The sequence below is a fragment of the Homo sapiens genome, chromosome 5 (genome assembly GCF_000001405.40).
Source record: "Homo sapiens chromosome 5, GRCh38.p14 Primary Assembly".
Taxonomy (NCBI): Eukaryota; Metazoa; Chordata; class Mammalia; order Primates; family Hominidae; genus Homo; species Homo sapiens.
In genome coordinates, this window is record NC_000005.10 from 173,829,762 (window position 1) to 173,856,679 (window position 26,918).

General features: G+C 45.1%; 5 annotated features.

Moving 5' to 3' along the window:
• Nucleotides 1–110: an enhancer, noted in NCBI's record as "active region_23667". NCBI's record gives its function as "activates an Ori minimal core promoter by ATAC-STARR-seq in GM12878 lymphoblastoid cells {active_cell/tissue: GM12878}" and the evidence as "EXISTENCE:reporter gene assay evidence [ECO:0000049][PMID:35858748]".
• Nucleotides 5,945–6,239: a silencer, noted in NCBI's record as "tiled region #12964; HepG2 Repressive non-DNase unmatched - State 23:Low". NCBI's record gives its function as "represses a minimal TATA promoter and a strong SV40 promoter by Sharpr-MPRA in HepG2 cells {active_cell/tissue: HepG2}" and the evidence as "EXISTENCE:reporter gene assay evidence [ECO:0000049][PMID:27701403]".
• Nucleotides 23,590–24,130: a transcriptional cis regulatory region, noted in NCBI's record as "candidate enhancer chr5.4558 targeted for multiplex CRISPR interference". NCBI's record gives its function as "positively regulates CPEB4 gene expression with high confidence in K562 cells {active_cell/tissue: K562}" and the evidence as "EXISTENCE:mutant phenotype evidence [ECO:0000015][PMID:30612741]".
• Nucleotides 25,772–26,341: a transcriptional cis regulatory region, noted in NCBI's record as "candidate enhancer chr5.4559 targeted for multiplex CRISPR interference". NCBI's record gives its function as "positively regulates CPEB4 gene expression with high confidence in K562 cells {active_cell/tissue: K562}" and the evidence as "EXISTENCE:mutant phenotype evidence [ECO:0000015][PMID:30612741]".
• Nucleotides 25,925–26,219: an enhancer, noted in NCBI's record as "tiled region #12084; K562 Activating DNase matched - State 5:Enh". NCBI's record gives its function as "activates a minimal TATA promoter and a strong SV40 promoter by Sharpr-MPRA in K562 cells {active_cell/tissue: K562}" and the evidence as "EXISTENCE:reporter gene assay evidence [ECO:0000049][PMID:27701403]".

Here is a 26,918-nt window from a genome sequence, read left to right on the forward strand (position 1 = left end):
CCCTCAGGGCCCAGGTAGGACCAGCCTGACTGCACACTACCCTGTCATCCCCGGGCTTGTCCCCCATCTCCTGCCCTCTCTGTGCACTAATGGCTGGGGAGCTAAGGGAGGGCAGTGTGCCCTGGCAGGCCTGGCCACGCTGAGCCTTGTTTGTGTATTTCCACCTTCATGCTTCAGTTGCTGTCGCCCCTGACTCATCAGTTAGTTAACAAGCTCCAGAACTGTTCCTCCTCCTTGGGACATCTCATCACACAGCCCATCTAGCCAGTGAGAGTGTGGGCTCCAGCGGGGTGCTTCTGAGGGAGAAGCTGTCTTGTCTGTTCTTCTGTGATTCTGCCCTTCCTTCCTCAACGCTCTGAGACCAACTCAAAAGCAAAGTCACTGTCTTTCTTTTGCAGTGTGTGCATGTGTGTATGTGTGTACTCATGCGTGTGTGTGTGTGTATAGGCTTTTGCTCTTCACAGAAAGAAATCATGAGCCATCTGGCTGGCTGATCAAGAAGGTTATTATTTTTAACAATAATAGCAGAAGCTCACATTTACTGAGCATTTACTATAAACCAGCATTTTATGTGAATTAACTTGTAGAATGTTCTAAATAACCTTGGGAAGTCAGGTGCTTTTGAAAATCACTGTTTTACAGACAATAAGAGTGCAGCTTAGACAATAACTTGCCCAAGTCATGCAAATACTAGTAAGTGACAAAGGCAGGATCTGACTCTAGCCTGTTCCACTCCAAAACTGTACCCTTAATTGGTGCTTTGAACTTTTTGGTACATACAAATCACTTTGAAAACCTGACGCAAGTGCTGATTCAGTAGATTTGGGTTGGGGCCTAAGATCTAGCATTTCAAAGAAGTGTTCACATCATGTTGATGCTAACCAGTCTGAGCAGACACTTTAAGCCATGTTGATCTAGATCACCCTATTGTTCCTTCTGACCTGTTAGGATGACTGCAGGGTGTTCAGTTAAATTTTTTCCAGGAAGGAATCTCCTGAAATAGAATCATGGAAAAGGCTTGTGGCTAGAGTCCTGGGTTTGAATTTCAGCAACCATTTAGTTCTCATGACCTTGGGCAACTTCTACTTTTAGAAACTCAGTTTCCTTATCTTCAGAATGAGGATAATAGTATCCACTGGCAGGTGATTGCAAAAGAGTAGATGTGAAAATGCCCATGAAAAAGGGCTCTGCAGACTGTACCAAAAGTTCAGCTATTAAAGCCATTTGTTGTTAAATAATAATATCATTACTATAAAAACTCCTGATTGAATGGGCAGTGGGGAGGGTCTTATGTTGCCGTCATTCCATTTTTCATTCATTCCCAAACTTTTTTTTAAAACCATCTACCTGATGACCAAGGGTAAAGAGATTCATCACAGTGTTTTATTTATAGAGACCTTCACTACCTCAGCCTCTGAGCTCTGTAGGACCCTCTGTGAAGTGTTGTTTAATACCCACAAAGCAATTCTTCCAAGCCCCTTCCATCTTTGGCAAAATAGATGAAACAGGATTGGATCTCCCCCACCTCAAAAAAAGAGATCACAAGGAGAGCAGGAAGACCAAGCAAAGCTAACGCCCACTTCTGAATTCCCAGCCATTGAGGCTCAGCATAGAGAGCAACAGATGGCTGCAGTAGATCTTGCTAATCTGGCCAAATGACAGATTAGCAGAATTTAGGTATTTCTCATTAGCTCCCTTGCTTTTTCCTCTACAATAAACTAAATGCAGTGAGCTACAAATTATTTACTGTTTCTCCCATTAAGAGGTGAATTCCGTTTCCCCTCCCCTTGAATCTAAAGTTGCCTTTAGACTTGTTTGGTTTATATCAATAGAATGTGGCAAAAATGACATTTTAGGGCTTCCCAGCCTAGGCCTTCAAATGACCAACAGATTCTACCTTCTCCCACTTTGAAGCCAACTGCATGTGTAAAGAAGCTTAAGCCAGACTGCTAAGGGGTAGGAGGGGACGGCGTGGAAAGAGGCCTTGAAGATCAGAGGCCATCCTCGGCATTGCAGCTGCAGATAAGATTCTAGTGGAAGGCAGCTCCATTAGTGCCCTCAGCTACCCCTTATGAAACAAAAGAACCATACCAGCTAAGCCCAGGCAACCCACAGGATTGGGAGAAACAACACATGAATTGTTTTAAGCCCCTGTGTTTTGGAATGGTTCATTATGCAGCGATTGATAACTAAAACACTAGACTTTTTTGAATCTAAATTTTCTTTCTAATCGTCTCTTCCACTTACACATCCAAAAAATATGTCCTACCTATGTGTTAAGACAATGGCTTGCAGCATGGTCCCCACATCAGCAACATAAGCACCTTGTTAGAAGCTTGTTAGAAATGCAAATTCTAAGGCCCACCCCAGACCTGATGGTTCAGAAACTCAGGGATGGGGCCCAGCAATCTATATTAACAAGCCTTCTGGGTGATTTCAATATAACACTCAAGTTTAGGGATCACCGGGCTCAGCCAGTGGTTCTCCATCTTGGCTGTGCACCTTGATCACCTGTGGTCTTTAAAAATACAAACGTGTACAGGGCTTACCCCAGACCTACTGAATCAAGGAAGGCCTAAGTATATGTGCTACTGAAAGCATTCCTTGCTGATTTTGCTATGCAGCCAGGTACTGTGGAGGAATTCAAGACCCTCATGATGTTTGGGCCCTGTAGATCTGTGCTTCTCAAGCTTGAATGCACAAAGGATTCACCTGGGGATCTGATGAAATGCAGATTCTGACTCAGTAGATCTGGGGTGAGGCCTGAGATTGTGCATTTCGAATATGCTCCCAGAGGAAGCTGATGCGGTCAACCTCATTGAGAGCAGCAATACCCTGGGGAGTCACCATCTTCTCTGAAGGGTAGATGTCATAAAAAGTAGTTTTATGTTACACACTCACACACAGAAACACACATACCATCTCTAAATGCCGTAGCCGGGAGTAGCTACACAAGGCGCCGTTGAGGCAGCTTCAATGTCCCTACTACGCAGACTTTAAGGATGACTCCCTATAGGAGATGCCATTTGAGCTTTGCCTCAAAAGATAAGAAGGATTTTGTCCAACAGACATGGAGAATGATGTTCTAAGGTGAAGAGAAGGGCCCATGTTAAGGAAGCCCCAAAAGCTGCTTAGTGTGACTGAGGTCTATCCTGGTGGGACGAGAAAAGGGAAAGAAAGCCAGAAACTGTTTGTGGCCAGATTATGAACAGCCTTGAACATCAGGCTAAAAAAGTCCAAACTTTATCGCATGGGCCATGGGGAGCCATGGAAATTTCTTCAGCAGGGGAATGATGTCTCTGTGCAATCAGAATCTGGTTCCCACAAAAGGTAGAAGGGTTGCCCTGATTTCTCATCTTTGTCACGACTACAAGATTTATGTCAGAAGAGAGAGAAATGCCAGAAAGATGCAGAAGCCTGGAATTAACTGCACAGGCCTGTATTTTGAAACAGGTGGCTTGTCTTCCTTGAAAGATGACAGTTCTCCAATCTTTTTGAGGAACCGTTCCAAGAAAGAGGAACAGTAAAAGATTTCCACTCCCAGAGAGCATAGCTCTGCTCACATGTTCCAGTAAGTAATGTTCTCTGTATCACAATGAACAGAAAAATGTGCGTGATGGAATGAAAATCCGTACTGCCTGGCTACCCGTGGGCAGCCTTGGTTACTATGGAAAATTCCTGATTAAAGTCAGCAGAAGAATTTCCTAGCTAACGACTATTATTAATAGGAGCTTCAGCCTTGCGCTGACATTCTTTAATATGTCATTGCACAAGCCAGGTGATTAAACTCCTATGTTTTTTAAAAGGAAACAGAATGCACCCACCTTCTCCAGGCTGACTACCCTTTTTAATAACCCACGCGGTCCTGCTTAGTTAGTATAAGAACAAAACTGCAACCATGAAATTATTTTAACAAGACCATAAAAAAAACAATTTGCTTGAGTGATGTTTAGGGAGAAGGGGGGACCCACCCTCTCCTTAAACTAATTAAACTGTACTATATGTCCTTGTGTAGTTCCTGACATTTTTCTGGTTCACTCAGTTTGAATCGCTACACGGGGATCGGTGCCAAGCTCCCAAATGGCTAACTCAAAACAAAAGCAGGGTCTCCGGAGTATTCCTAGGCATCCAGCAAATTGAGGGAAAGTTATTTTGGGTTAATCAATGTACTTCAGTTGCAATCACATCTTGCCCCATAGAAAAGACGGAAAACAAGGACTCACTGTTTGAAGTCTAACTCAGGGTGAACTAGGAAGTGACACTGACCTTCTTATGTTCTTCGTGTTTCACTATTTTATTTTTTTCTGAAAAATTACACCCTGCTTTGCATGAAGCCAAAAACAGTAGCCCCTCATGTTCCATTTCTCCCCCCAACCTGCTGATAGTTTATGTCTTTCCCACTCACACTGGCGATTACCAGAAGCCACTGGCAGCTTCCTTGAATGTCTTTACAGGCAAGGAGTCTATTCTCAGCCTGGTAGGGACTAGACATTGATTAATGGCTGGGAACTTTGGTTTCTGGCAAGACAAGCCTTAGTTTAAGCTGAGGAGGGCTTTGGGTGTTGGTCAGACTCTTGTCAAAGTCAAACTGGGAGGCACAATGGGTGTCTTGGACACAGCACCGTCACGCATGTCTTAGTCTCCTTCTGAGAAATGTGCCCCTGTGTATTAAGACCCAATATCATGGCCTTAACACTCCTTGAAACTAATGTTTACCAATCACTTCAGAGTTTAGAGAAAGTGTTCGCTTCTGAAAAGCTCTTTAACGTTGATGAGGCAATCATTTAAATTCCGAAGAACTGTGGAGCACAGATAAAGCGCATAATTCAATTTATTTCTGTTTAAAGCAATATACAATGAACTGCCATGTGTGAGATTCTGATGGGGTACCATCCTTTGGATGAACAGGATGAAACTGATAGAGGTGCTTTCTGACTTCAGGGAAATTAGACTGTCCTAATTTAGAGAGGAATCAGTATGATAAATGGTAGAACTGCTCATAGTGATAAGCCCTAACATTTTCATTATGTTCTGCAATATGCAAAGTACATGCATATAAGTGTATAGACAGCTAGCTACAAGGCCATTCTTTTCTCCTGGCAATGGATGCCAATGGTCTCTGATTGCTCTCCCACTGGTTCATCCAACCCAGTGGGAAAAATATCAGCTGGAGTCATGAGGTATTATGCAGGTGAAAACAATCAAGTGGTTGACTAAGAAAGTCTGGGCCTTTGGAGTCAGACTGAGATGTGAATCCTGACTGTTCTAACTCAAAGCCTGTCAAATGAGAGACACGTCCCTCTCCATCTTGTATGATACTTGCTTTATCAATTCCAGGTGTGCCTCATACAGAGGTGCTGGTCCATGCCTCAGCCTTGCCATGCTGTCCTCTACTCAGGTCCCCTGTCCTGTGCCATTGTACATCTTGTCTCCTGCCCCAGAGCTCCATGAAGAGTGTCGTCTTGCTCTTTGCAAAACATCTGCCTCTTTCTTTGTCTGGAGGAGGAGCTGCCAGGAAGGGAAGCTGCCAGGAAGAAGAGCAACTCAAGTTGGCCTACTTCCTGTTTTGAAACCCAGGGACTTGCTTGCAATCAAGGATGGGTTGTAGAGGCTTGAGGAAGATAGTTCCCAGCACCCCATGAATAAAGGGCTGGTTGTGGCGTGTGGTTCGCATGGCTGGCAGTGTGCTCTTGAGCCTATTTCTGGCTTAACAATATGCCCTCCCTCCATGGGGTTGCATTTTCTTAGAAATCCAAGATGCCAAGAAGGGCAATGTTGGTGGCCTGATCTGGTACAGGAAAGCTAGCCTGATGGTATGTGTTCCTCTACCTTTGATACTTAGTGTTTTCCTCCTTCCCTGTTCCCATGGAGAAGAAGCAGCAGGGCTACTGGGGCACCGAAGGAGAACTCACGACTTACTCCCTACAGCTTTCCAGAAGCACAATGCGTGGCCCTCATCTCTGGCACCACAGTCGCTCCCCTCTTTCAAGCCACATCATCTCTTGTTTGAATGCCTGCAATATCTCCTAGTCACTGTCCACGCCCTTGCCTTCCTGCAATACCTAGTCCATGCAACAGTATCATCTTTTCAGAATGCAACTGTGACCCAGGGCTGCCCAATCAGAGCATGACATCGCCTGGCCGGCATGACTGGTTGAGGGATGGCCTGTAATCTAAGCTAGTGAATAATTATAACTCTCACCTTTTAAGCTCTTGCTGTGTGCCAGACATGGGGCAAAACCCCTGACAACCAGCATCTCACTTCACCCTCACAATAATCCTATGCTGTCAGCACTATTATTATTAGAGGGGGTTAGTAGCTTGCCACAGGAATCTACTGAGAAAAGCGTCAGAACCTGAATTCAATACTTTCTAAATCCACAACCCATGTTTACAATGAAGTGTTAACAGAGACATAGAGCACCCTGTGGCTATTTTCTCCCAACAACAACACTTTTCACTATGTCTTCTAGTGAGGCCAGTGTTGTGGTGCCATGTAGACAAAGCCAAAAACAAAAAAACAGGGGCTGGGGGGACCTGCTGAACAGCCTGGCTACCCAGGGCTTATCAGCGAGATTGTCCTCCCTCCTGCAAGCAAGGTAAGGCATATATGCCCCCTAACAGTAGTAGGTTTTATTTTTTTTTTTCTGAATAAAAAGCCACCACATTGTAGTAATCTGCTACATCTTGGTGGACTGATCAGTTTCTCCTCCTGAAATTGATCTGGACATATTTTTGCATTTATCCTGGGATGGAACCTCCTGCAAGATTCCTCCTTTTTGGTTTGGTTTGAAACACAATGGTTTGCCACCATTACCGATATCCTCAGCACACTTAGCAGGCTGTCCCAAGAGTGGAAGAGTCCCGTCGTGCACTGGGCCAGGAATCTGGGGTCAGAAGGACCAGTGTGAAGAGCTGTGTAACTCCAACACAGCACAGGAGCTAGCTAAACCCATCTCTCAATAGGAGAAGAACCCTACCTCTCAGGGCTGGAGGAGGGCTGCACTCATTTCTGTCCATGCTTAGTCAAGTGCCTGGCACACACCCTCCTAAAGACTAAGTAAATTGTAGCTCTTTTTATTCATTGTTCTACTGAGAGGAAGAGTTGATTTTAAACTCATGATTATTGGCTTAATTAATTTATACCCCAAAATTCAAACACATGTTGCTGATATATAAGTAGCCCAGTCCTTCCACTTTTTGTCTCCCTTTCTTTTTTTTTTTTTTTTTTTTGAGACAGAGTCTTGCTCTGTCACCCAGGCTGGGGTGCAGTGGCACAATCTTGGCTCACTGCAAGCTCTGCCTCCCGGGTTCACCCATTCTCCTGCCTCAGCCTCCCGAGTAGCTGGGACTACAAGCGCCCGCCACCACGCCTGGCTAATTTTTTTTGTATTTTTAGTAGAGACAGGGTTTCACTGTGTTAGTCAGGATGGTCTCGCTCTCCTGACCTCGTGATCCACCCGCCTCGGCCTCCCAAAGTGCTGGGATTACAGGCGTGAGCCACTGTGCCCAGTCCTGTCTCCCTTTCTTAATAAAAAAATTACTCCTCCTATAAAATGATCACTAACACCACTGATAGGGTTTGGCTGTGTCCCCACCCAAATCTGATCTTGCACTGCGGCTCCCATAATTCCCATGTGTTGTGGGAGGGAATCAGTGGGAGATAATTGAATCATGGGGGCGGTTACCCCCATACAGTTCTTGTGGTAGTGAATAAGTCTCATGAGATCTGTTGGTTTTATAAGGGGTTTCTGCTTTCACTTGGCTCTCATTCTCCCTGCCTGCCGCCATGTAAGACCTGCCTTCCGCCATGATTGTGAGGCCTTCCCAGCCACCTGGAACTGTGAGTCCATTAAACCTCTTTTTCTTTATAAATTACCCAGTCTCAGGAATGTCTTTGTTACCACTGATTTCTATTTTTTAAACTGGAAAATGCACATGACATCACTTATTTCTCCCTATATAAAAACCCATGATGAGGTACTTAGAGGTACCAGAAATCACAGAGACAGAAAGCAGAATGGTGGTTGTCAGCAGCTGGAGGGAGGTGGAAATGGGGAGTTCTAGTTTAATGGGTACATAGTTTCAGTTTTACGGAATGAAAAGAATTATGGACATGGATGGTGGTGATGGTTGCACAATACTATGAATATATTTAATGGCACTAAACTGTATATATTAAACACAGTTAAGGTAGTAAAATTTTATGTTATGCATATTTACCACAAATTTAAAAACTGGAAAAAACTCATTGTAGTTTTCTGATTATATATTCAACATCCGGGCGAGGCACAGTGGCTCACATCTGTAATCCCAGTGCTTTGGGAGGCCGAGGCAGGAGGATCACTTGAAGCCAGAAGTTCAAGACCTGGTCAACATAGCAAGAATCTACAAAAAAAAAAAAAAAAAAAAAAAAAATCAACTTAGCCAGGCATGATGACATGTGTTTGTAGTCCCAGCTATTTGGTAAGCTAAAGAAGGAAGATTGCTTGAGCCCAGGAGTTCAAGCCTGCAGTGAGCTCTGATCATGCCATTGCACTCTAGCCTGAATATATAAAATACAAAAAAAAAAAAAATTCAATAACCATGTATTCCAGAAAATTTAGAAAATTCATAAGATCACTGAGAAAGTAATATGTCACTAACATTCTCATCCTACTACCTAAATAGTTGTAATCAATGATTTGGTGTATTTACTCAAAATTTTCTGTCTATGTATACTTATGTTTTTAAAAATAAATAGGATTATCTCATGTTAAAAAAATGTAAGTCATTTCCAATTCAGGTGCCAAAGAAAGTTTTACTTCTGGGTAGGGCACAGTGGCTCACACCTGTAATCCCAGCACTTTGGGAGGCTGAGGCGGGTGGATCACAAGGTCAGGAGTTCAAGACCAGCCTGGCCAAGATGGTGAAATCCCATCTCTACTAAAAATACAAAAATTAGCTTGGTGTGGTGGTGGGCACCTGTAATCCCAGCTACTCAGGAGGATGAGGCAGAGAATTGCTTGAACCCGGGAGGCAGATGTTGCAGTGAGCTGAGATCGTGCCACTGCACACCAGCCTGAGTGACAGAGCGAGACTTCATCTCAAAAAAAAAAAGAAAGTTTTACTTCTGAGACATTAGTATACTTTTTCCTTATATGGCACAAATAATGTAGCATCATATTTTTTTTTCATATTCTCAAGCATCATCATGTTTTCCTTTTTGTTCTGGCCACTGGGAAGCTCAATCTAAATATGTGGCCAACTTTGATAAACGCCTAGAATCCTTTGTCTGCTTGTTTATGTCCTAACTTCCTTCCTGGCCCTGATCTATTAAATCTCTCTTTCCCTAATCCTGATTTGTTCTCTATGTATAGCTTTGTAGTTTACTGTTGTATTGTATTGTGTTATTGTACATACATAATATTATAGGTACTATTGTAAGCTCCACATGGAAAAGGGTCGATGATATGTAAGTAGTCACTAGGAAGAAGATTCATCAATATTAAGTATTCTTGTAATCTGTCACAATCACCTGATTAACCTGTCATCATATGGTAAGCCCCAGGTGGCAACAAAGCAGGGGAGGGGATGGCCAGTGTTTATATGCGTGTGGGGAAGAGATAGAGACAGAGAGGCTTCAACCACCCCATATAGAACTCTAGAATCTGCTTGGGTTCCTGGTAGCAGTTTGTCACTTGAGAGAGGGTTTGTGAGCTTTATCTGCTGTCTCCTGATAAACCTGGGTGACTCACTTGTCTCTGGCCTGTATGTCTGTCACAGCTCCTGGCCACTCCCTGAACTCCAGAATAGGCACCTTCAATCCACTTTCTACTGGGTCCCAGGGTGATTTTCTTTTTTTCTTCACTACAAATGTGACCACATGACGCTCCTGCTTAAACCCTTCAGTGTTACCCACAAAGTACCCCTAAAAAATTCCTAATCGAATGCAGCCCTCTCGTTTCATAATTGAGAAGAATGTGACCCAGAGGTAAAGCAATTTAGTGGCACAGTTGGGACCAGAACTGAGGTTTCATTTATTTGTTCATTCATTCCTCCATGCATACATTTATTTACTAAAAAATTTTGAGGACTAATAGGCATCAGGCACGTTGGAGGCTCTGGAGACATAGCAGTGAGCGACACACCGGGTCTGCTGTCTTCCAGCTTCCACGCTAAAGGGGCAGGATGCAAGAAACAGATTGACGCAGAAATGAACAAGGTTTCAGATTGCTCTAAGGGCTATGAGACTTAAAAAGGAGGCACCATGCTGGAGAGTGGGTTGGGGTGGGGTGGTAGAAGAGGCTTGAGGTAGGGTGGTCGGGGAGACTCTCTGGTTGTGACATTTGAGCAGTGGCTAGCGTTGGGAAGATCTGGGTCTTTGCATGCATATGAGGTCTTGAGGAGAGCACCCACCTGGCTCCTTCTAGCACTCTGAGGAGAAGGAGAGGGCAGGAGGGGAGTTCTGTAGCAGGGATGGCAGGGTCAAGTCTCGGAGAGCCTTGGCAAGGTCTCCCGCCCTGTCATCACAATTGTGGTTTCCAAAACTCATCACAGGCTCAGGTGTGTTTTCAGGCCAAAGGCTTTTGGTTGAAAAGCAAGGAGAAAATGGAGAGCTAAGCATTTCCTTTCATGCCCAGCCCAACCAAGGCACAGCCCTTCTCACTGGATGAAATTTACACCTAACGTTATTTTTAGTCTTCTCTCTCCAGCTCAATGAATACACCTCACATGCAAGAGAAGATGAATTTATCTTTGTGGTTGAGAAATGCTCACATGTGAGAGCGGGAAAGAACACAAGCTTTGGAGGGAAGGAGAACATGGTTGAAACCTTGGTCCTGAAACCTGGTGTGGTCTTTAAGCCAGCTTCCTCACCTTCTACCCCACAGTGTCCCATCTGTCAATAAAATTAGTAAGGACTGGGGTGTATACGGTGCTTTGTGTTCTTTACAAATATTATCTCAGTTCATCTCCTAAGAACTCTCTTATGGTACTATTATTTTCAAACCCATTTTACTGATGGGGAAACTGAGACCCAGAGAAAGGGACCTGAAATTCAAACCCAAGCAGTCCCACACCAAGGTCTATCCCAAAGTCTTCCCCAGGATGTCATATCATCTTGTGCATGGTACTGCCATTGGGAAGTGTAAAAGAACTAGAGCTGGTAAAAGGCCCAGATGAGACTCTGGGCCCCCTCAGCATTGAATCCATCTTCTTTTTACTCTGAAGAACCAGACGGATGGGGCACAAGCAGGTGCCCCATGGCTGCAAATGTGAGGCAGTGCAGGGGGGTAAGACTGGTTGGCTCACCAGGGTCCCCAGCCCAGCAGCCAAATGCCCAGGTATTCCTCCTCCCTTCTGCCAAGGAAAAGAAAAATAGGTTTGACTTCTTTTCACTGTAGTCGTGGTCCCCAGCCATGACCCTTTCCCCTGGATTTCATTGTTATGCAGAAGCCACTCCGTCCCAGGCAGAGCGTGTCCCTCCTTTAGGCTCCCACTGCACCACGTACATCCTGTATCTCGCCCTTATAAACCTGTATGGTAATTACTTTACTTGCCCAGGGCAAGAGTACAAACAGAGACCCACATATTATACGTCTAAATATTAAAAGTTATAAATCAAGCTAATGAACTGTTAAATAAAATATGTCTAGCTGCATACCTTGACAAATATATCTGCCTAACAATCTGGAAGGTCAAGATTGAATTTAGAAATCTCAGATGCCTCAGCATTTTGCGCCTACAGGTGGTGACCTTGGAAAGCCAATCCCAAGCCCCAGGCCCGGCTCCTGCCCCACTTCTCTCCCCGCCTTGGTCTGTATCTGTACTGAGATGGGCCTTGTGCAGGCAAAAACACCTGAGGGTGCCCCGGCCTCACAGCCAAACTCCATTGTCTATTTCCCCTCCCAACCAACAGCTACCCTTGGCCACCAATGGGCTTCAAGGTTTGCGCACGGGCGGCTTGCTCAGCCTTTGAGAGGACAGACCTGGGGAAGGAGTCCATGCAGTTTCTGGAAATAAGCTCATAGCTGTTTGGGCAAGGTATTCTAGTCCCCAGTGTGTGCATAGACCATGAGCTACAACATTGGTATCTAATAGAAACATAACGTGAGTCATAAATGCAAGCCACGTGTGTAATTTAAAATATAGTTAATCTTTGAATAACACAGAGGTTAGCGGCAGTACCCCCTGATCACAGTCATACCAGCTTATAACTTGACTTCCTTAAAACCTATCTACTAAGCTGAAGCAGGAGGATTGCTTGAGCCCAGGAGTTTGAGACCAGACCTAGCAACCAGTGAGACCCTGTCTCTACAAAAAAAAAATAAAGAAAAATTATCTGGGTGTGGTAGTGCAGCCTGTAGTTCCAGCTATTTGGGAGGCTGAGGAGGAAGGATCACTTGAGCCTGGGAGGTTGAGGTTACAGTGAACTGTGATCACGCCACTGCACTCCAGCCTGGGTGACAGAGCAAAACCCTGTCTCAAAAACAAAAAAACAAAAACAAAAACAAACCACTAATAGCCTGCTGTTGACCAGAAGCCTTACCAATAAACACATATTTTGTATGTTATACGTATTATACACTGTATTCCCACAATAAAGCAAGCTAGAGAGAAGAAAATGTTATTAAGAAATCATAAAGAAGAGAAAATATATTTACTATTCATTAAGTGGGAGTGGATCAGCATAAAGGTCTCCATCCTTGTTGTCTTCAGGTTGAGTAGGCTGAGGAGGGGGAGGAAGAGGAGGAGCTGATCTTGCTGTCTCAGGGGTGGCAAAGATGGAAGAAAATTCATGGGTAGGTGGACCCATGCAGTTCAACTGACACTCTGTGTTGTTCAAGGGTCAACTGTATACTAATAGCTCACATTTTTTTTTTAATAAATAAATGCTGGGTGCAGTGGCTCATGCCTGTAATCCTAGCAATTTGGGAGGCTGAGGTGGGCAGATTGCCCAAGCTCAAGAGTTCGAGACCAGCCTGGGAAACATGGTGAAACCCCATCTCTATCAAAATACAAAAAATTAGCTGGGCGTGGTGGCACATGCCTCTAGTCCCAGCTACTTGGGAGGCTGAGGCATGAGAATCGCTTGAACCTGGAAGGTGGAGATTGCAGTGAACCGAGACGGCACCACTGCACTCCAGCCTGGGTGACAGAGGGAGACTCTGTGTGTCTCAGAAAGAAAAAAAAAAAAAGCAGGTGAAATTAATTTTAGCAGTATATCTTATCTAACCCAATGTATCCAAAATATTATTCCAACATGTAATCAGTGATAGAAATGTTACACCCTATTTTGTACTAATTTTTTTTTCTTTTTTAAAAACCAATTTTAGGCCAGGGGCGGTGGTTCACACCTTTAATCCCACACTTTGGGAGGCTGAGGCAGGTAGATCACTTGAAACCAGGAGTTTAAGACCAGTCTAGCCAACATGGCAAAACACCGTCTCTGCTAAAACTACAAAAATTCACGGCTGGGCGCGGTGGCTCATGCCTGTAATCCCAGCACTTTGGGAGGCTGAGGTGGGCAGATCACCTGAGGTTGGGAGTTCGAGACCAGCCTGACCAACATGGAGAAACCCCATGTCTACTAAAAATACAAAATTAGCCAGGCCTGGTGGCTCATGCCTGTAATACCAGCTACTCAAGAGGCTAAGGCAGGAGAATTGCTTGAACCCGGGAGGCGGAGGTTGCAGTGAGCAGAGATCGCACCAATCCACTCCAGCCTGGGCAACAAGAGCGAAACTCTGTCTCAAAAAAAAAAGTTAGCTGGGCATGGTGGTGCACACCTGTAATCCCAGGTACTCAGGAGACTGAAGCAAGATAATCGCTTGAACCCGGGAGGCGGAGGCTGCAGTGAGCCAAGATCGCACTCCACTCCAGCCTGTGCGACAGAGTGAGACTCTGTCTGAAAAACAAAAACAAACAAAACACCATAAAATTCACCGTTGACAGTACACAATGCAATGGATGTTGGTATATTCACAAAGTTGTACAACTATCACCACTACCTAATTTCAGAACCATTTCTTCATCTCCAAATGAAGCTGTGTACCTGTGAGCAGTCACTCCCCATTCCTCTCAGCCCCTGACAACAACAGATTATTTTGTACTAAATCTTTTAATTCCAGTATGTATTCTGCATTGACAGCACATCTCAATTGAGCTGGCCACATTTTGGGTACTCAGTAGCCACTTGGGTGAGTGGCTGCCTTGTTTGGCAGTGCAGGTCTAGAACTTTGCTACTGTGAGTGTCATCTGTTGTCAAGTAGGAGCTGTAGCACCTGTAGAATCTCAGGCCCCCACCTAGACAAAATTAGCATTTTAGCGAGATCGCCAGGTGATGATCTGCACGTTAGAGCTAAAGAGGCTGGCTGCTGTAGAAGGTTCCTGAGCATACCCCTTTGACCTGCTGACTTGACCCAGAGAGGACCAGAGCTGAACTGGGGGCAGGGTTGGGGTCCTTTTAAGGGTAGTTTTGCCAGAGTCTTCCTACTGATCCACAGTGCCTCCCGTTAAGGCCCTTGACCTTGGGCAGAAAAGACCAGCATAGCCTGAAAAAAGAGAATGCTGAGGGCTCAGTGAATAGGAACAGGCTTCCTAGGCAGTAGAAGTGGAGACATCTGTGAAAAGGAAAAAAGACAAGAAAGAGCATGATCACAGGGGCACAGCAGGCCAAGAGTCCCAGAGGCAGGTCTGGAACAGGAAGCTTTACAAAGGCTCTGGCTAGGATGGGAGATGGTGGTAAATAGTTTGTGCTGGTTTCTGAGCATGACCAGGTAGGTGTCTAGTCTACGAGATAAGCCCATGGGAGGCTTCTGAAGAGAGCTATATAGGGAAATTTCATACATTGAATTCTTGATCACAAGCCCTTACATTGTAAAATCAGAGCTGTGTCTCAACAGATTAAATTTACCAATGGTGTAAACTGACGTCTTGTACTAAGGGTGGAAGCCAGTCCCATAATATGCTTTTCGTTGAGATTTCCCAGACATACTGGAGGTGAGATCTTCTGCTAGAAGTTACATTGTGGAAACTTCATTGTCTTTTTGACTGGCATCATGGATTTTTTTTTTTTTTTTTGGTAGGGGAGAGAGAGAGCAGGTCTCTAGGTTCATTTCACTGTTGGTTCAAGCTAGACGAGAGTTGAATGGACAACAGTATCTTCAGATGAAAATGAGAGGCAGAAAGAAGCTAAAGTCTACGCAAATAAACACTATGCTTTTGCTCGATACATATGATATCTCCATTCACGTCCACCATGCCCCTCTCAGGTAAGTGTCGTTACGTCAGTCAGGAGGTGTTCAGCAGCAACTAATAGGACATCTGGCTAACAGTGGCTTAAAAAATGTCTCTCAAAACATGGTTCACGCCAGGCATGGTAGCTCACACCTACAATCACAGCACTTTGGGAGGCTGAGAAAGGAGGATAGCTTGCATCCAGGAGTTTGAGACCAGCCTGGGCAATATAGCAAGACCTTGTCTCTACAAAAGAAATTAAAAAAAACAAAAATTAGCCAAGTGTGGTGGTGCGGGCCTATAGTCCCAACTACTCAGGAGGCTGAGGCAGAAGGATCACTTGAGTCTAGGAGATCGAGGCCGCAGTAAGCTGTGATCATATCACTACACTCAGCCTGGGCAACAGAGTGAGACTGTCTCAAAAAAATAAAATAAAACAAAATAAATGTGGTTCACTGGCATCTTCTGCATCATGCAGGAACCTGTCAGAAATGCACATTCTTGGGCTCCACCCTAGACCTACTGAATAAGAAACGTGGCGAGTGAGGGCAACAATTTGTGTCTGAACAAGCCCTCCAGATGATTCTGGTGCATGTGCAGGTTTGAGAAAAGCGGTTTCAACAATAGAGACACTAACATTTCTCAACAAAATGTTCAGAAGAAGCTCCACACGGCCAGCACTCTGGCTCAGCATCTCTGTGATTCTTTTGACTTTTCCCTCATGGTCACAAAATGGCTGCCACAGCTTTTAAGCATCACATTCTTACCTTGCAGCATCCCAGACAGGAAGGTCAGGGTGATGGCAGAAAGGGGAATCTTCTTCATTTGGACTTTCTCTTTTATTGAGAGGAAAATATATCTTAGGAACTTCCTCAGCAGACTTCCTTCCCCAACTCATTCTCCAAGCCGGGTCTCATGGTTGTCCCTAGGCAAATCATTGGCAAAGTGGAATACGGTCCCCACAGTGACTTAAACTGAGCACAATTCATCCCCTTGAGCTCACTGCTGCTCCTCCAATGCCTGAACAAAATTATTTCCTATTACCATGAAAGGATCAAGGCATGGGGGTAGGGAGAGTTGTTTGCATGCAACTAACAGTGTCTACTACAATTATTGTCCCCGGTTTACAGATGTGGAAAGTAAAGCTCAGTGAAGACTACATAGCTAGGAAATACGGGAGCTGAGATTCAAAGCTCACTTTTGTTTCTGGCTCCCAAAATCTTTCTGCTACCTTACTTCACCTGCAAATTTACCAGTGACCCAAATGCTGGAAAGTATAAGAGGTAGATTCTGTGACTTTATGCAGTAGCCAACATTGAGATATGGACTATAAATTGGAGCACAGGATGTCAGTAGAAGAGAGGTCACCACCTGGATACCTGTGGGCCTTGTGCTTCATTTGGTAAAAAGTTTAAAAAAAAATTTAAATTCATGTTCCATATTTAATATTGGAAGACTTCACATACAAATTCTGACTTCTAAATTCATTTGAAGAAAAATGAGAGGATCTTGCCTCCCTGGACCAACATGCCCTTGTGGTGAGAATCTGTGGGAGCTGAGTGGTGTCTGCTTCCTTTGGATGGAGCAGGGCTTCCTAATTTTCCTCATTTCCTATCATTCTCTATGGCCTTACACCTGACCCAGTTCACCTATTTGCATCACTTGCCTTGTCCTAGCAGACATGTTGCCCCCCAACCTGAATCCTGTGCCCATGTGTCCAATACTGCAATGCCAATGGTAAGGTCCAATAGCATCTATTCCCCTCTTTAGCCCCCAAAACCTGCAGCCACATGTTCCAGAGGAAGAAAAAAGACAGTAGGAGCTTTCAGAGTGAATTTGAATTTTCCTGCAGGGCCTACAGCACTGTGACTCCCTAGGACTCTACTATAGGCACTGCTCTGCAGTTTGAGACATGACTCCAGAAGGCAGGGCTGGGATATAAACCTCTGGGTGTCATTTGAGGGCCCTGAAACAGCAAGCAGTTTGGGGATAGGGTCTGGAATTAAGGAGGTAAGGACAAGCTGGGCTGCTTTACTTCCTAGAAGCTAGCTTCCCCTGAAGCTCCCCAATTTTCCTATGCAATTTTATATTCTTCAGTCTCCATATGCCCTCTGAGACTTGTAGTTGTAAAACACCACCTGGGGACTAATTGTCCTCCAGCTTAAGTCACTACCAGAAGAAGTTGTGTATAAACTTTGGACCTATTTCTTTATCTTACTTTTCAACTCTGAAATTCTGGTCCCCTGTGTTAGTTCATTTGCAATGCTGTAAAGAAATACCTGAGGCTGGGTAATTTATAAAGAAAAGAGGTTTATTTGGCTCACAGTTCTACAGGCTGAACAAGCAGCATGGTGCTGGCATCTGCTTCTGATGAGGCCTCAGGAAACTTACAATCCTGGTGGAAGATGAAGGGGGAGCAGGCATATCATGTGTCAAGGGAGGGGGCAAAAGAGGGAGAAAGAGATGCCACACACTTTTAAACAATCAGTTCTCTCATGCCTGTAATCCCAGCACTGTGCGAGGCCAAGGTAGGAGGATCACTTGAACCCAGGAGTTTGAGTCCCCAGCCAGGACCACAAAGTGAGACCCCATCTGTACAAAAAAATAAAATTAGCCAGGCATGGCACATGCCTGTGTTCCCAGATACTTGGGAGGCTAAGATGGGAGGATTGCCTGAGCCTAGGAGGTCAAGGCTGCAGTAAGATGAGATCGTGCCACTGCACTCCAGCCTGGGTAACAGAGTGAGACCTTGCCTCGAAAAAACAAAAACCAAAACAAAAGACTATCAGCTCTCATGTGAACTCATTACCACGGGGAGGGCACCAAGCTGTTTATGAGGCATCTGACCATGACCCAAACACCTTCCCCTAGGCCCCACCCCCAATACTGGGGATTACATTTCAACATGAGATTAGGAGGGAATAAACATCCAAACCATATCATCCCCTCTTCCACTCTTTAAGTCCATGTATAAATTCATCTGGATGGTATTTCCCCAGAAGCACTTCACTACAAAGTAGAAGCAACAGGAAGAAGAATAGTGCTGATAATAGTATAGCTGAGAAGTGAGGTCCTGCATGGGAAAAGCCCTATCCCAGCTCTGTGCTGGCTCTGAAGACCCAAACTCAGGGGACTCTCAGTCTGGCAGGGGAGCCATGAGAGAAACATGTCATGACCAAGCAATCTGATCAGGGCAGCTCTGTAGGTAAACATAGGGTGTTCTTGGGTCTTGGAGGACTGGCACCTACCCTGAGATGAGGAAGTTTCTGGAGGAGGTGATGACTGAATCTTGAAATAAGAATCAGCCAAACAAAGAAGAGAAGGGCAATCCAGGCAAAAGGAACAGTGGGAGCAAAGGCCTGGAAGTAGGCAAGAACATGGCATATGTGTGGACTGACATGTCCCTGGAACCAAAGAGGAAGGCCGTGGATGAGGCTCTGGGGGTAAGAAGCAAGTCACTGAAGATGGTTGGCTTCATCCGGAAAGAATGGAGACACCATGAAGGGCCTTAAGGAGAGATGTGACTTGACCAGATGATTGGAGGGTGGATAGGAGACCAGCGATTACTCTGTGCTATTGCCCACTAAAGAAAGAAGGAAACTCCTATTTGCCCTCCTTCTCCAGGGTTTACTATCTCTGGAAATGACACTGCCATCTACCCAGTTGATCAAGTCAGGGACATCCTCCTTAACATCTGCTTCTCTCTTACCTCAGTATCACCAAGACTTAGAGAGTCTGCATTCTCAGTATCTCTCCAACACGCTCATCCTCCAATTTCCCCGCCATCATAACCTCCAATGGCCTCCTGATGTTCCCCTGCCTCCAGCTTCTTCTTCTTCTAGCTATTCTCTACATCACAGCCATGGTCTTCCTAAAGTGCAGACTTAATCTTGGCATTTCTTAGCAGAAAAAAATTTTTTAAAAGCCCTTCAGTGTCTCCTGTGTCAGTCAGGATTCCTACTGCAATCAGAACTCTAGCTATTTAAACAGAAAATAGTTGTATAAAAAGGATATACAGCAGCACAGCAAATCATTGGAATTTTGTTTGTAAATCATCATCCTTTTGTTGGGCAAAGGATGTGCCTTATGTTTCAGTCATCTGTTGTGTAACAAACCATCTCAAAACTTAGTGGCTTAAAACAGCACCAATTGTATACCATGACTCAGGGCTGACTGGGCTCTGCTGGGCAGTTCTTCTGGTCCTCATGGTTTTGGCAGGAGCTGTAGCCTCCCGGAGGCTCAACTCAGCTGAGATGGCTCATTCTCATGACTGGTGGTTGGTCCTGGCTGTCAGGTAGGAACTCAGTTGGGGGTGTCAACTGAGCTTCTCAGTTCTCCCTGTGGTCTTTCTATGTGGCATGTGCAGCTGGATTCTAAAAGGGAATATTCAAAGGGTGTGAAAATGAAAGCTGTAGATCTCCTATGGCCCAACCTTGAGAGTTACACAGAAGCACTTCTGTTGCATTCTTTTGGTCAAAGCAAAGCAAGAGGGCCAGTTCAGATTCAAAATAGACTCCTCTCCTTCGTGAAAGGAGAGGCAAAAATGTGCAGCCATCTTTATATGCACCATCCCTTACTTGTATATCCTCCTAAATCACCTAGTAGGATACATAATAGGTGCTTAATAAAAATTTGTTAGGGATCAATGTATTCAATTATTTATTTATTTATTTAGAGATGGTGGCTGGAGTGCAGTGATGCAATCTCAGCTCATTGCGACCTCCACCTCCTGGGTTCAAGCAATTTTCCTGTCTCAGCCTCCCTAGTAGCTAGAACTACAGGCACTCGCCACCATGCCCGGCTAATTTTTTTTTTGTATTTTTTTTTTGTATTTTTTTTGTAGAGACAGGGTTTTGCCATGTTGGCCAGGTTGGTCTGGAACCCTGACCTCAAGTGATCCACCCGCCTCAGCTTCCCAAAGTGCTGGGATAACAGGCATGAGCCACCACGTCCAGCCTGATTTAATCATTTATTTATTCATTTATTTGGGAATCATTGGCCATGAAATAGACCAATAGTCTTGGAAAACACTAGAAGGCGGCTCAATGCGCTGAAGAGAGTCCACCAGACCTATGGTCAGACTTTGCCTTTCTTATGACCTTAGGTAAATTGCTTAGTCTTTGGAACTCAGTTTCCTCATCAGTAAAATGGCATAACTATGCCTACAGATGAGAGTAACAACACCCACCTCACAGGGTATTTCCAGGTTTAATTGCTCATGTGTTCTAGCCCTGCTTGTTCACTTTGAGGTGATATGACCCAGTAGAGAAAAACTTACTCCCCTGAGAAACAAGTTTTATTTTGGTGGTGCAGGGGTGGCGGACCCTCTGGTGTTACTTTAGAGCACTTTCATTTGAAACAGTTACAACACTACAAACAAACAAGACATAGACTTTTTGCTTTTTGAAGATAATTAATTGAAGAAAACGAGTAATAGAGGTTGCCTCTGGGGAACCAGGAATCAGAGATGGAAGGGAAGTGTGTGCTTTACTCTGTACTTGTTGGCACTGTGTGAATATTTCTCTTACAGGTCTCTCTCTCCAAAGAGAGAGAAAGAGAATTTAAATATGAGGAATTCAGATACAGTTGAAACAATTTCTTCTGGGTCACAGTGACTTCAGTGAGCACATAGCTGTTCATTAATATAATTCACAGCCACAAAAAAAGATGTGAATCACATTTTTCCTATAACAAGAAGCCTTGAAAAGAGCACCCGGAGTGGGGCTCTGAGGCTTCTTATCTCTCCACCCCTGTGGCAGTTTCCTCTCGGATCCTTGGGGTGCTTCTGCATTTGTTCATTAAATGCCTGCTCAGACTGGAGACAGCTCAGGCAATGTCCTGTCATTGCTGGACATGACATGTTCGATATACTGTCACAGTCTCCTTCCCGCATGCCCCCTCGGTGGCCCTCACTTCTGTTTGGCTCAATCATTTAATTTGCAGACTCCAGGCAGCCTAATTCCTAATCTTTCTTTAGCAAGATCATGATATGTGATGCATTGGGAGCCAGTCAAGGAGGTGAGGGGAAGTCTGGAAGACGAATAGATGAAAGGAGGGCAGGAAGGGAGGGAGGAAAGAGGAAGGAAGAGGTGCTGATTCTTGCAATTTTCTAGAACCTCTCCAAAGTCTTTTTTCCTCCATGACCCTTTCTCCCCTTGCCCTGGGATTCTCTTGTCCTCACTACCCTTGCAGTCTCCCACTCCTGCGTATTGTACAAGCTGGTGCAGACTGAGAAATGTTGCTCTGAAAGACAGGAAAGGGAATTTTTTTAAACATCTGCTTCATTACCCAGCTCCCCACTGCCCAGCCACCAATACACACAGACACATTGAATGTCTCCACAGGTCCTCTCAGCTCTTTGAAAATGATGAACTATCCAATCATTCACTTCTCTAAGTCTCCACCACCCCATCCCTGTCACTCCAGATGAGAAATTCATATAAAGATGGCTTTGCTCAGAAAACAATGTTGCCTGTGGCCATTAAGAAAAAAAGGTCTGCCCACCCTTAAATGTTTATCATAGCTCCTGATTTTTTTCTTTTCTTAAATCTTTTTTTCTTTTTTTTGACTTGGAGCAAGGAGGGTCTGACTGTCACTTGGAGCTAAACCAGTCTCCAAGTGGCCATCAGACCCTCTTTGCCCCAAGTCAGTACCGTCCTCAGTGACAGCTCTGATATGGGTTAAATTGTGTCACCCAAAAAGACGTGTTGAAGCCCTGACCCCCATACCTTGGAGTGTGACCTTCTTTGACAGTAGGGCTGTTGAAGATGTCATTAGTTAAGATGAGGTCATACTGGAGTAGGGTGGGCCGTTAATCCAGTATGACTGGTGCCTTCCCAGAAGAGGAGAAGGGACATACATGAAGTCACATAAGGGAAGAACACCATATGACACCGGAGGAAGGGGCTGGAGTGATGCAGCTGCAGGCCGGGGAACATCAAAGATCGCCAGCCAACCACCGGAAGCAAGGAGAGGCAAGGAAGCATCTGCCCAGAGTTTCAGAGGAACAGGGCCCTGCTGACACCATGATTTTCCAACCCTGGCCTCCAGAGCTGTGGGAGAATACGTTTCCATTGTTTTCAGCCACCCAGTTTGTGGTACTTTGTTTATGGCAGCCCTAGCAGGTTGATATAACTTCCTGCTATTGCCTTTGAAGCTACCGCTGGACAATAGTCTTTCAAAAGGAACTAGGGGTTTGATTTCAATGGGATGAATTTGAATAGAGTTTTGGGAGCGAAACACATATGCTGTCACTGAATTCTCAAAAAGCCTGATTTCCTCCAAGTGTCCTATCAAAAATATAAAGACATTTGAAGATAAAACACACCTTCCTTTTCCTTATCCGAGAAAACCCCAAGTTCTCAGGATAACAGACACGGGACGGCAGAACTCAAGAGAGAGTGGACTTGTGGCAAATGTGGAATCCCAGGCCCGCTGTGTGGCTATCAGCTGCGTGGTCTTGATTGAGTGTGTCAGTCAGGGTCCTGGAGGAAACGCCACTCACTGCAGATGGGTCAGGTGAAGAGACTTTAAGGAACTGACCACATGCTGTGTGCTGTGGCTCCCACCTATCATCCCAGCTACTTGGGAGGCTGAGGTGGGAGGATCACATGAGCCCAGGAGTTCAAGGCTGTGGTGAGCTATGATCGCACCACTGTACTCCAGCCCAGGTGACAGAGCGAAACCCCATCTCTCTACTATAAAATGAAAAAAAAAGAAAAAGAAAAAGAGGGAAGGGACCACACAGGTGCTGGGAGGATGAGGAAATAAACCAGGAATGACGAAGCATGCAAAGAAGAGCAACGAGGAGGAGTTGTTACCCCTTCAGAGCAGAGGGGACAGACGGAGGAAACGGTGGCATTGCCCTCTATCAGGCATCACACTCATGGAGGGACTCAACGACTGGCAGACAGGTGGCACCTAACTAGGTAAGGATGGGGAAGAAAGACTTCGACTTCTCTCTTCTCCTGCTAGTGCCTCAATTGGCTGAACCCAGCAGGAAGCCCAGAGGACAAGGACCCCAGCACAAAGAGATGGCAGAGAGAGCAAATGGAGAAGAACTACTACAGCAAGCCATTCTCCATTCCGAACTAAGTATTTCCCTGGCCAAATGGGAGTAAGAATACTGACTGCTAGGCTTGTGACATGCCTATCACTTGGTCATGAATTATAAGGGACATAGCACAATGCTGGGCAAAGAGGATTGTCCTCGAGAAACACCCAGTGAATAAACAATTAATGGGCTGAGTGGATTTTCTTACGAGGCACACACATCATTCTTTTTTTCTAAAAAAAAAAAAAAAATCTCCAATGATAGACTTGGATAAATTATGCCTCAACTCCATGTCATAAAAGGTACAGAGGGAATTGTACAGCATATTAGAGATAATTAACTCCAAGTAGAATCAGGGCTGCCAGAATTCAGGAAGGACTCTGTGAGTCAATCTCACCCTAAAAAGGCACTGAGGCGCATGTACAGAAAGGAAAATAGAAGCCAATTAATTCAAAACATTTGGTACCTTGTAGCCTCAAGAGGTTTAGATGGAAGCACTTAGCGAGTGTGACTGAAATGGCAAGTACGTCCGGCTGCATGTGATAGATTGGTGGGAGCTGATTCAGCCACCATGCAGAGTACTGAGAAGTTGTGTCCATTTCTAGGAACTGTTGACTCAAAGGCAAAATGCAAGATGGAGCTTCATTAGGGCAGGTGGGTTTTGAAGGAGAGTTGAGACAAAGGTTATTTTTATCTCGGGGCTGTTTTCCAATCTCTCCTCACTTTCAAGGAAGGGAACGGATAGAGCACCTACTGTGTGTTGAGTAGGAGCTAAAAGGCCCCTGCACACCACTTCAGCGAATCCTCACAGCAACCAGGAGAGCGAGAAGAGGAAAGAGGCTCAGGGAAGGCTTAGGGACTTTGAGCCTTGCCCAAAGTCCCATCAAAGCTGGGGGGCCCAAGAGGAATTCAAACTTATGTTGTTTTCACGCTATACCACGTGACCTTTTTTTCCTTTTCTTTTTCTTTTCCTTTTCTTTTTTTTTTTTTAGAAAGGATTTCACTCCGTCACCCAGACTAGAGGGTAGTGCATAATCATAGCTCACTGCAGCCTTGACCTCCTGGGCTCAAACAATCCTCCTGCCTCAGCCTCATTAGTAGGTGGGACTATAGGCACATGCCACCAAGCCAGGGTGACTTTTAATTGTTTTTGTACAGAGCAGGTCTCCTTATTTTGCCCAGGCTGATCTCAAACTCCTGGGCACAAGTGATCCTCCCACCTCTGTCTCCCAAAGTGCTGAGATCACCGGTGTGAGCCACCGCACCCGGCCCAAGTGACTTTTTCCATCCCATCATGTGAGTCAAACCTCTTGGCTCCACTCTCAAGATATGGTCCTAAGAAACTACAGAAACAATTTCACCATACTGGAAGAAACACAAATATCAAACAACAAAGGAAGAACAGAAAGAGGGATCCTGCAGGGAAATCCCAGTTCTGCCTCTGCCTCATAGGTTGCTACCACCAGATTTCGATGGTTCTACCACACACACTTTTTGTTTTCTTTTTCACATTTTAACATCTCAAAAATCAGAGTATATTTTACAATTGATGGCATGTCAGAGTTTAATTGACAGTTGTTATTCTTTCTTGATGGCACATTACACAATGGTGAGCCTTATCATGTACTGTTGGCACATTTATGAAATATATTATTATCAGCTTCATTTTTCACAGATGAGTAATGCAGCCTGTTCACAAGCAAATCAGTGGTCCCCTGCCCACTTCCCTGACCTCACCTCCGCCTAGGATGCCTGATTCTTTCTTTCTTTCTTTCTTTCTTTCTTTCTTTCTTTCTTTCTTTCTTTCTTTCTTTCCTTCCTTCCTTCCTTCCTTCCTTCCTTCCTTCCTTCCTTCCTTCCTTCCTTCCTTCTTTCTTTCTTTCTTTCTTTCTTTCTTTCTTTCTTTCTTTCTTTCTTTCTTTCTTTCTTTCTTTCTTTCTTCTTTCTTCCTCTCCTTTTTCTTTTTTTTTTTAGTCTCGCTGTTGTCCAGGCTCTGGGCTCACTGCAGCCTCCATCTCCTGGGTTCAAGAGATTCTCCCGCCTCAGCCTCCTGAGTAGCTGGGATTACACTCACCCGCCATCATGCCCAGCTATTTTTTGTATTTTTGTAGAGACGGGGTTTCGCCATGTTGGCCAGGCTGGTCCTGAACTCCTGACCTCAGGTGATCTGCCTGCCTAGGCCTCCCAAAGTGCTGGGATTACAGGTGTGAGCTACTGCGACTGGCCGACACCTGATTCTTTCTACATTTGCCCTCTCTTCCTCCCTCTAACCACCATTTTGTTCCTATTTGTACTGGGCCCTGTGGGCTGCCTTGTAAACACTCTTTCCTTTTTCCCTCCTGGCCAACAGGACTCTGATTTGATAGAAGCGTCCATTGATCCAGATAGGTTATCTTACCCCATATCAATTAGATACCCAATGTAATCATGGAAAATACCATTTCTCTCACTTGTGTAGTTCGGGCTGGGCTTGTGAGTCACTTGTGGTCTAAGGAAAAGTGTACTGGGGACTCCTGGGGAAAGCTTCTTCTCTTTTAGAAGATACAGAAGTTTTCTTTGTTTCGCTAGACAGTTGTGTCTGGATGTGCCTGGCACTACAGGCACCATGAAGGGACCCAGCCTTGGGATGGGCAGAGACACAGAAGGAAACCAGGCCCTGATGATGTGGTGCAGCAGTGCTGTGTTCCCCATTTTCCACCTTTTACTTGAGAACTCCCAGCTCAGTGAGATAAAAATGTGCTTATCGTAGAAGCCACCTTGAGTCGGGGTTTTCTGTGACTTGCAGCTGAAGGCCTCCTCATTTACGGGCAGCCTCAGGGCTTTCCTCTCACTGTTTTTCTGCTTGACCCTCTCCCCCTGGCTGGCTCCGCCTCATTCTTCAGGCCCAACTCAGAGGTCACTCCTGTCACCTCCCTGTTGGATGTGCTCCCGCCAGTCACTCCATCTCGTTCTGTTCTGTTTCCCGCAGAGCCCTTGGGATTCATTAAACTCGTCTGGTTTAAGGACAGCACTTGATTCCCCCACACCAGAACATAAGCCCCAAGACAGCAGGGACATGCCTGTCTTATTCACTCCAGGACTCCAGGACTTAGCTCAGTGCCTGCCATATAGTAGACACTCAATAAATCATCTCTGAGTGATCAAGATGTAGAGAGCTGGCATTTTAAACCCAAGCATTTTACATCTTGCTAGATGCCACCTTTCAGAACTCTTTACCTCCCTGTTTTAGGATTCAGGCTCCTTGTTTCCCTAGCTAGGCCCTGCTCCTTAGCTCACAGATGCCATTTCCCCCTAAGCATCAGCATTCTCTCTTTGCAGGTGAACTCTTAAAAAGGAGACAATCCTCCTGCCTCAGCCTCATGAGTAGCTGGGACTACAGGCACATACCACCAAACCAGGGTGACTTTTAATTGTTTTTGTACAGAGCAGGTCTCCTTATTTTGCCCAGGCTGATCTCAAACTCCTGGGCACAAGTGATCCTCCCACCTCTGTCTCCCAAAGTGGGAGCTGCCTGCCCTGCATTCCATTGCTCAGCTCAGGATTGAATTGATGGCTGTGTTCTCCAGGCCAAAATCCTGGGCACAGAATTGGGATGGCCTTATCATCCCTCTGCTCCACCTTCTTGCTTTCTCTGCCAGTAGCCCCT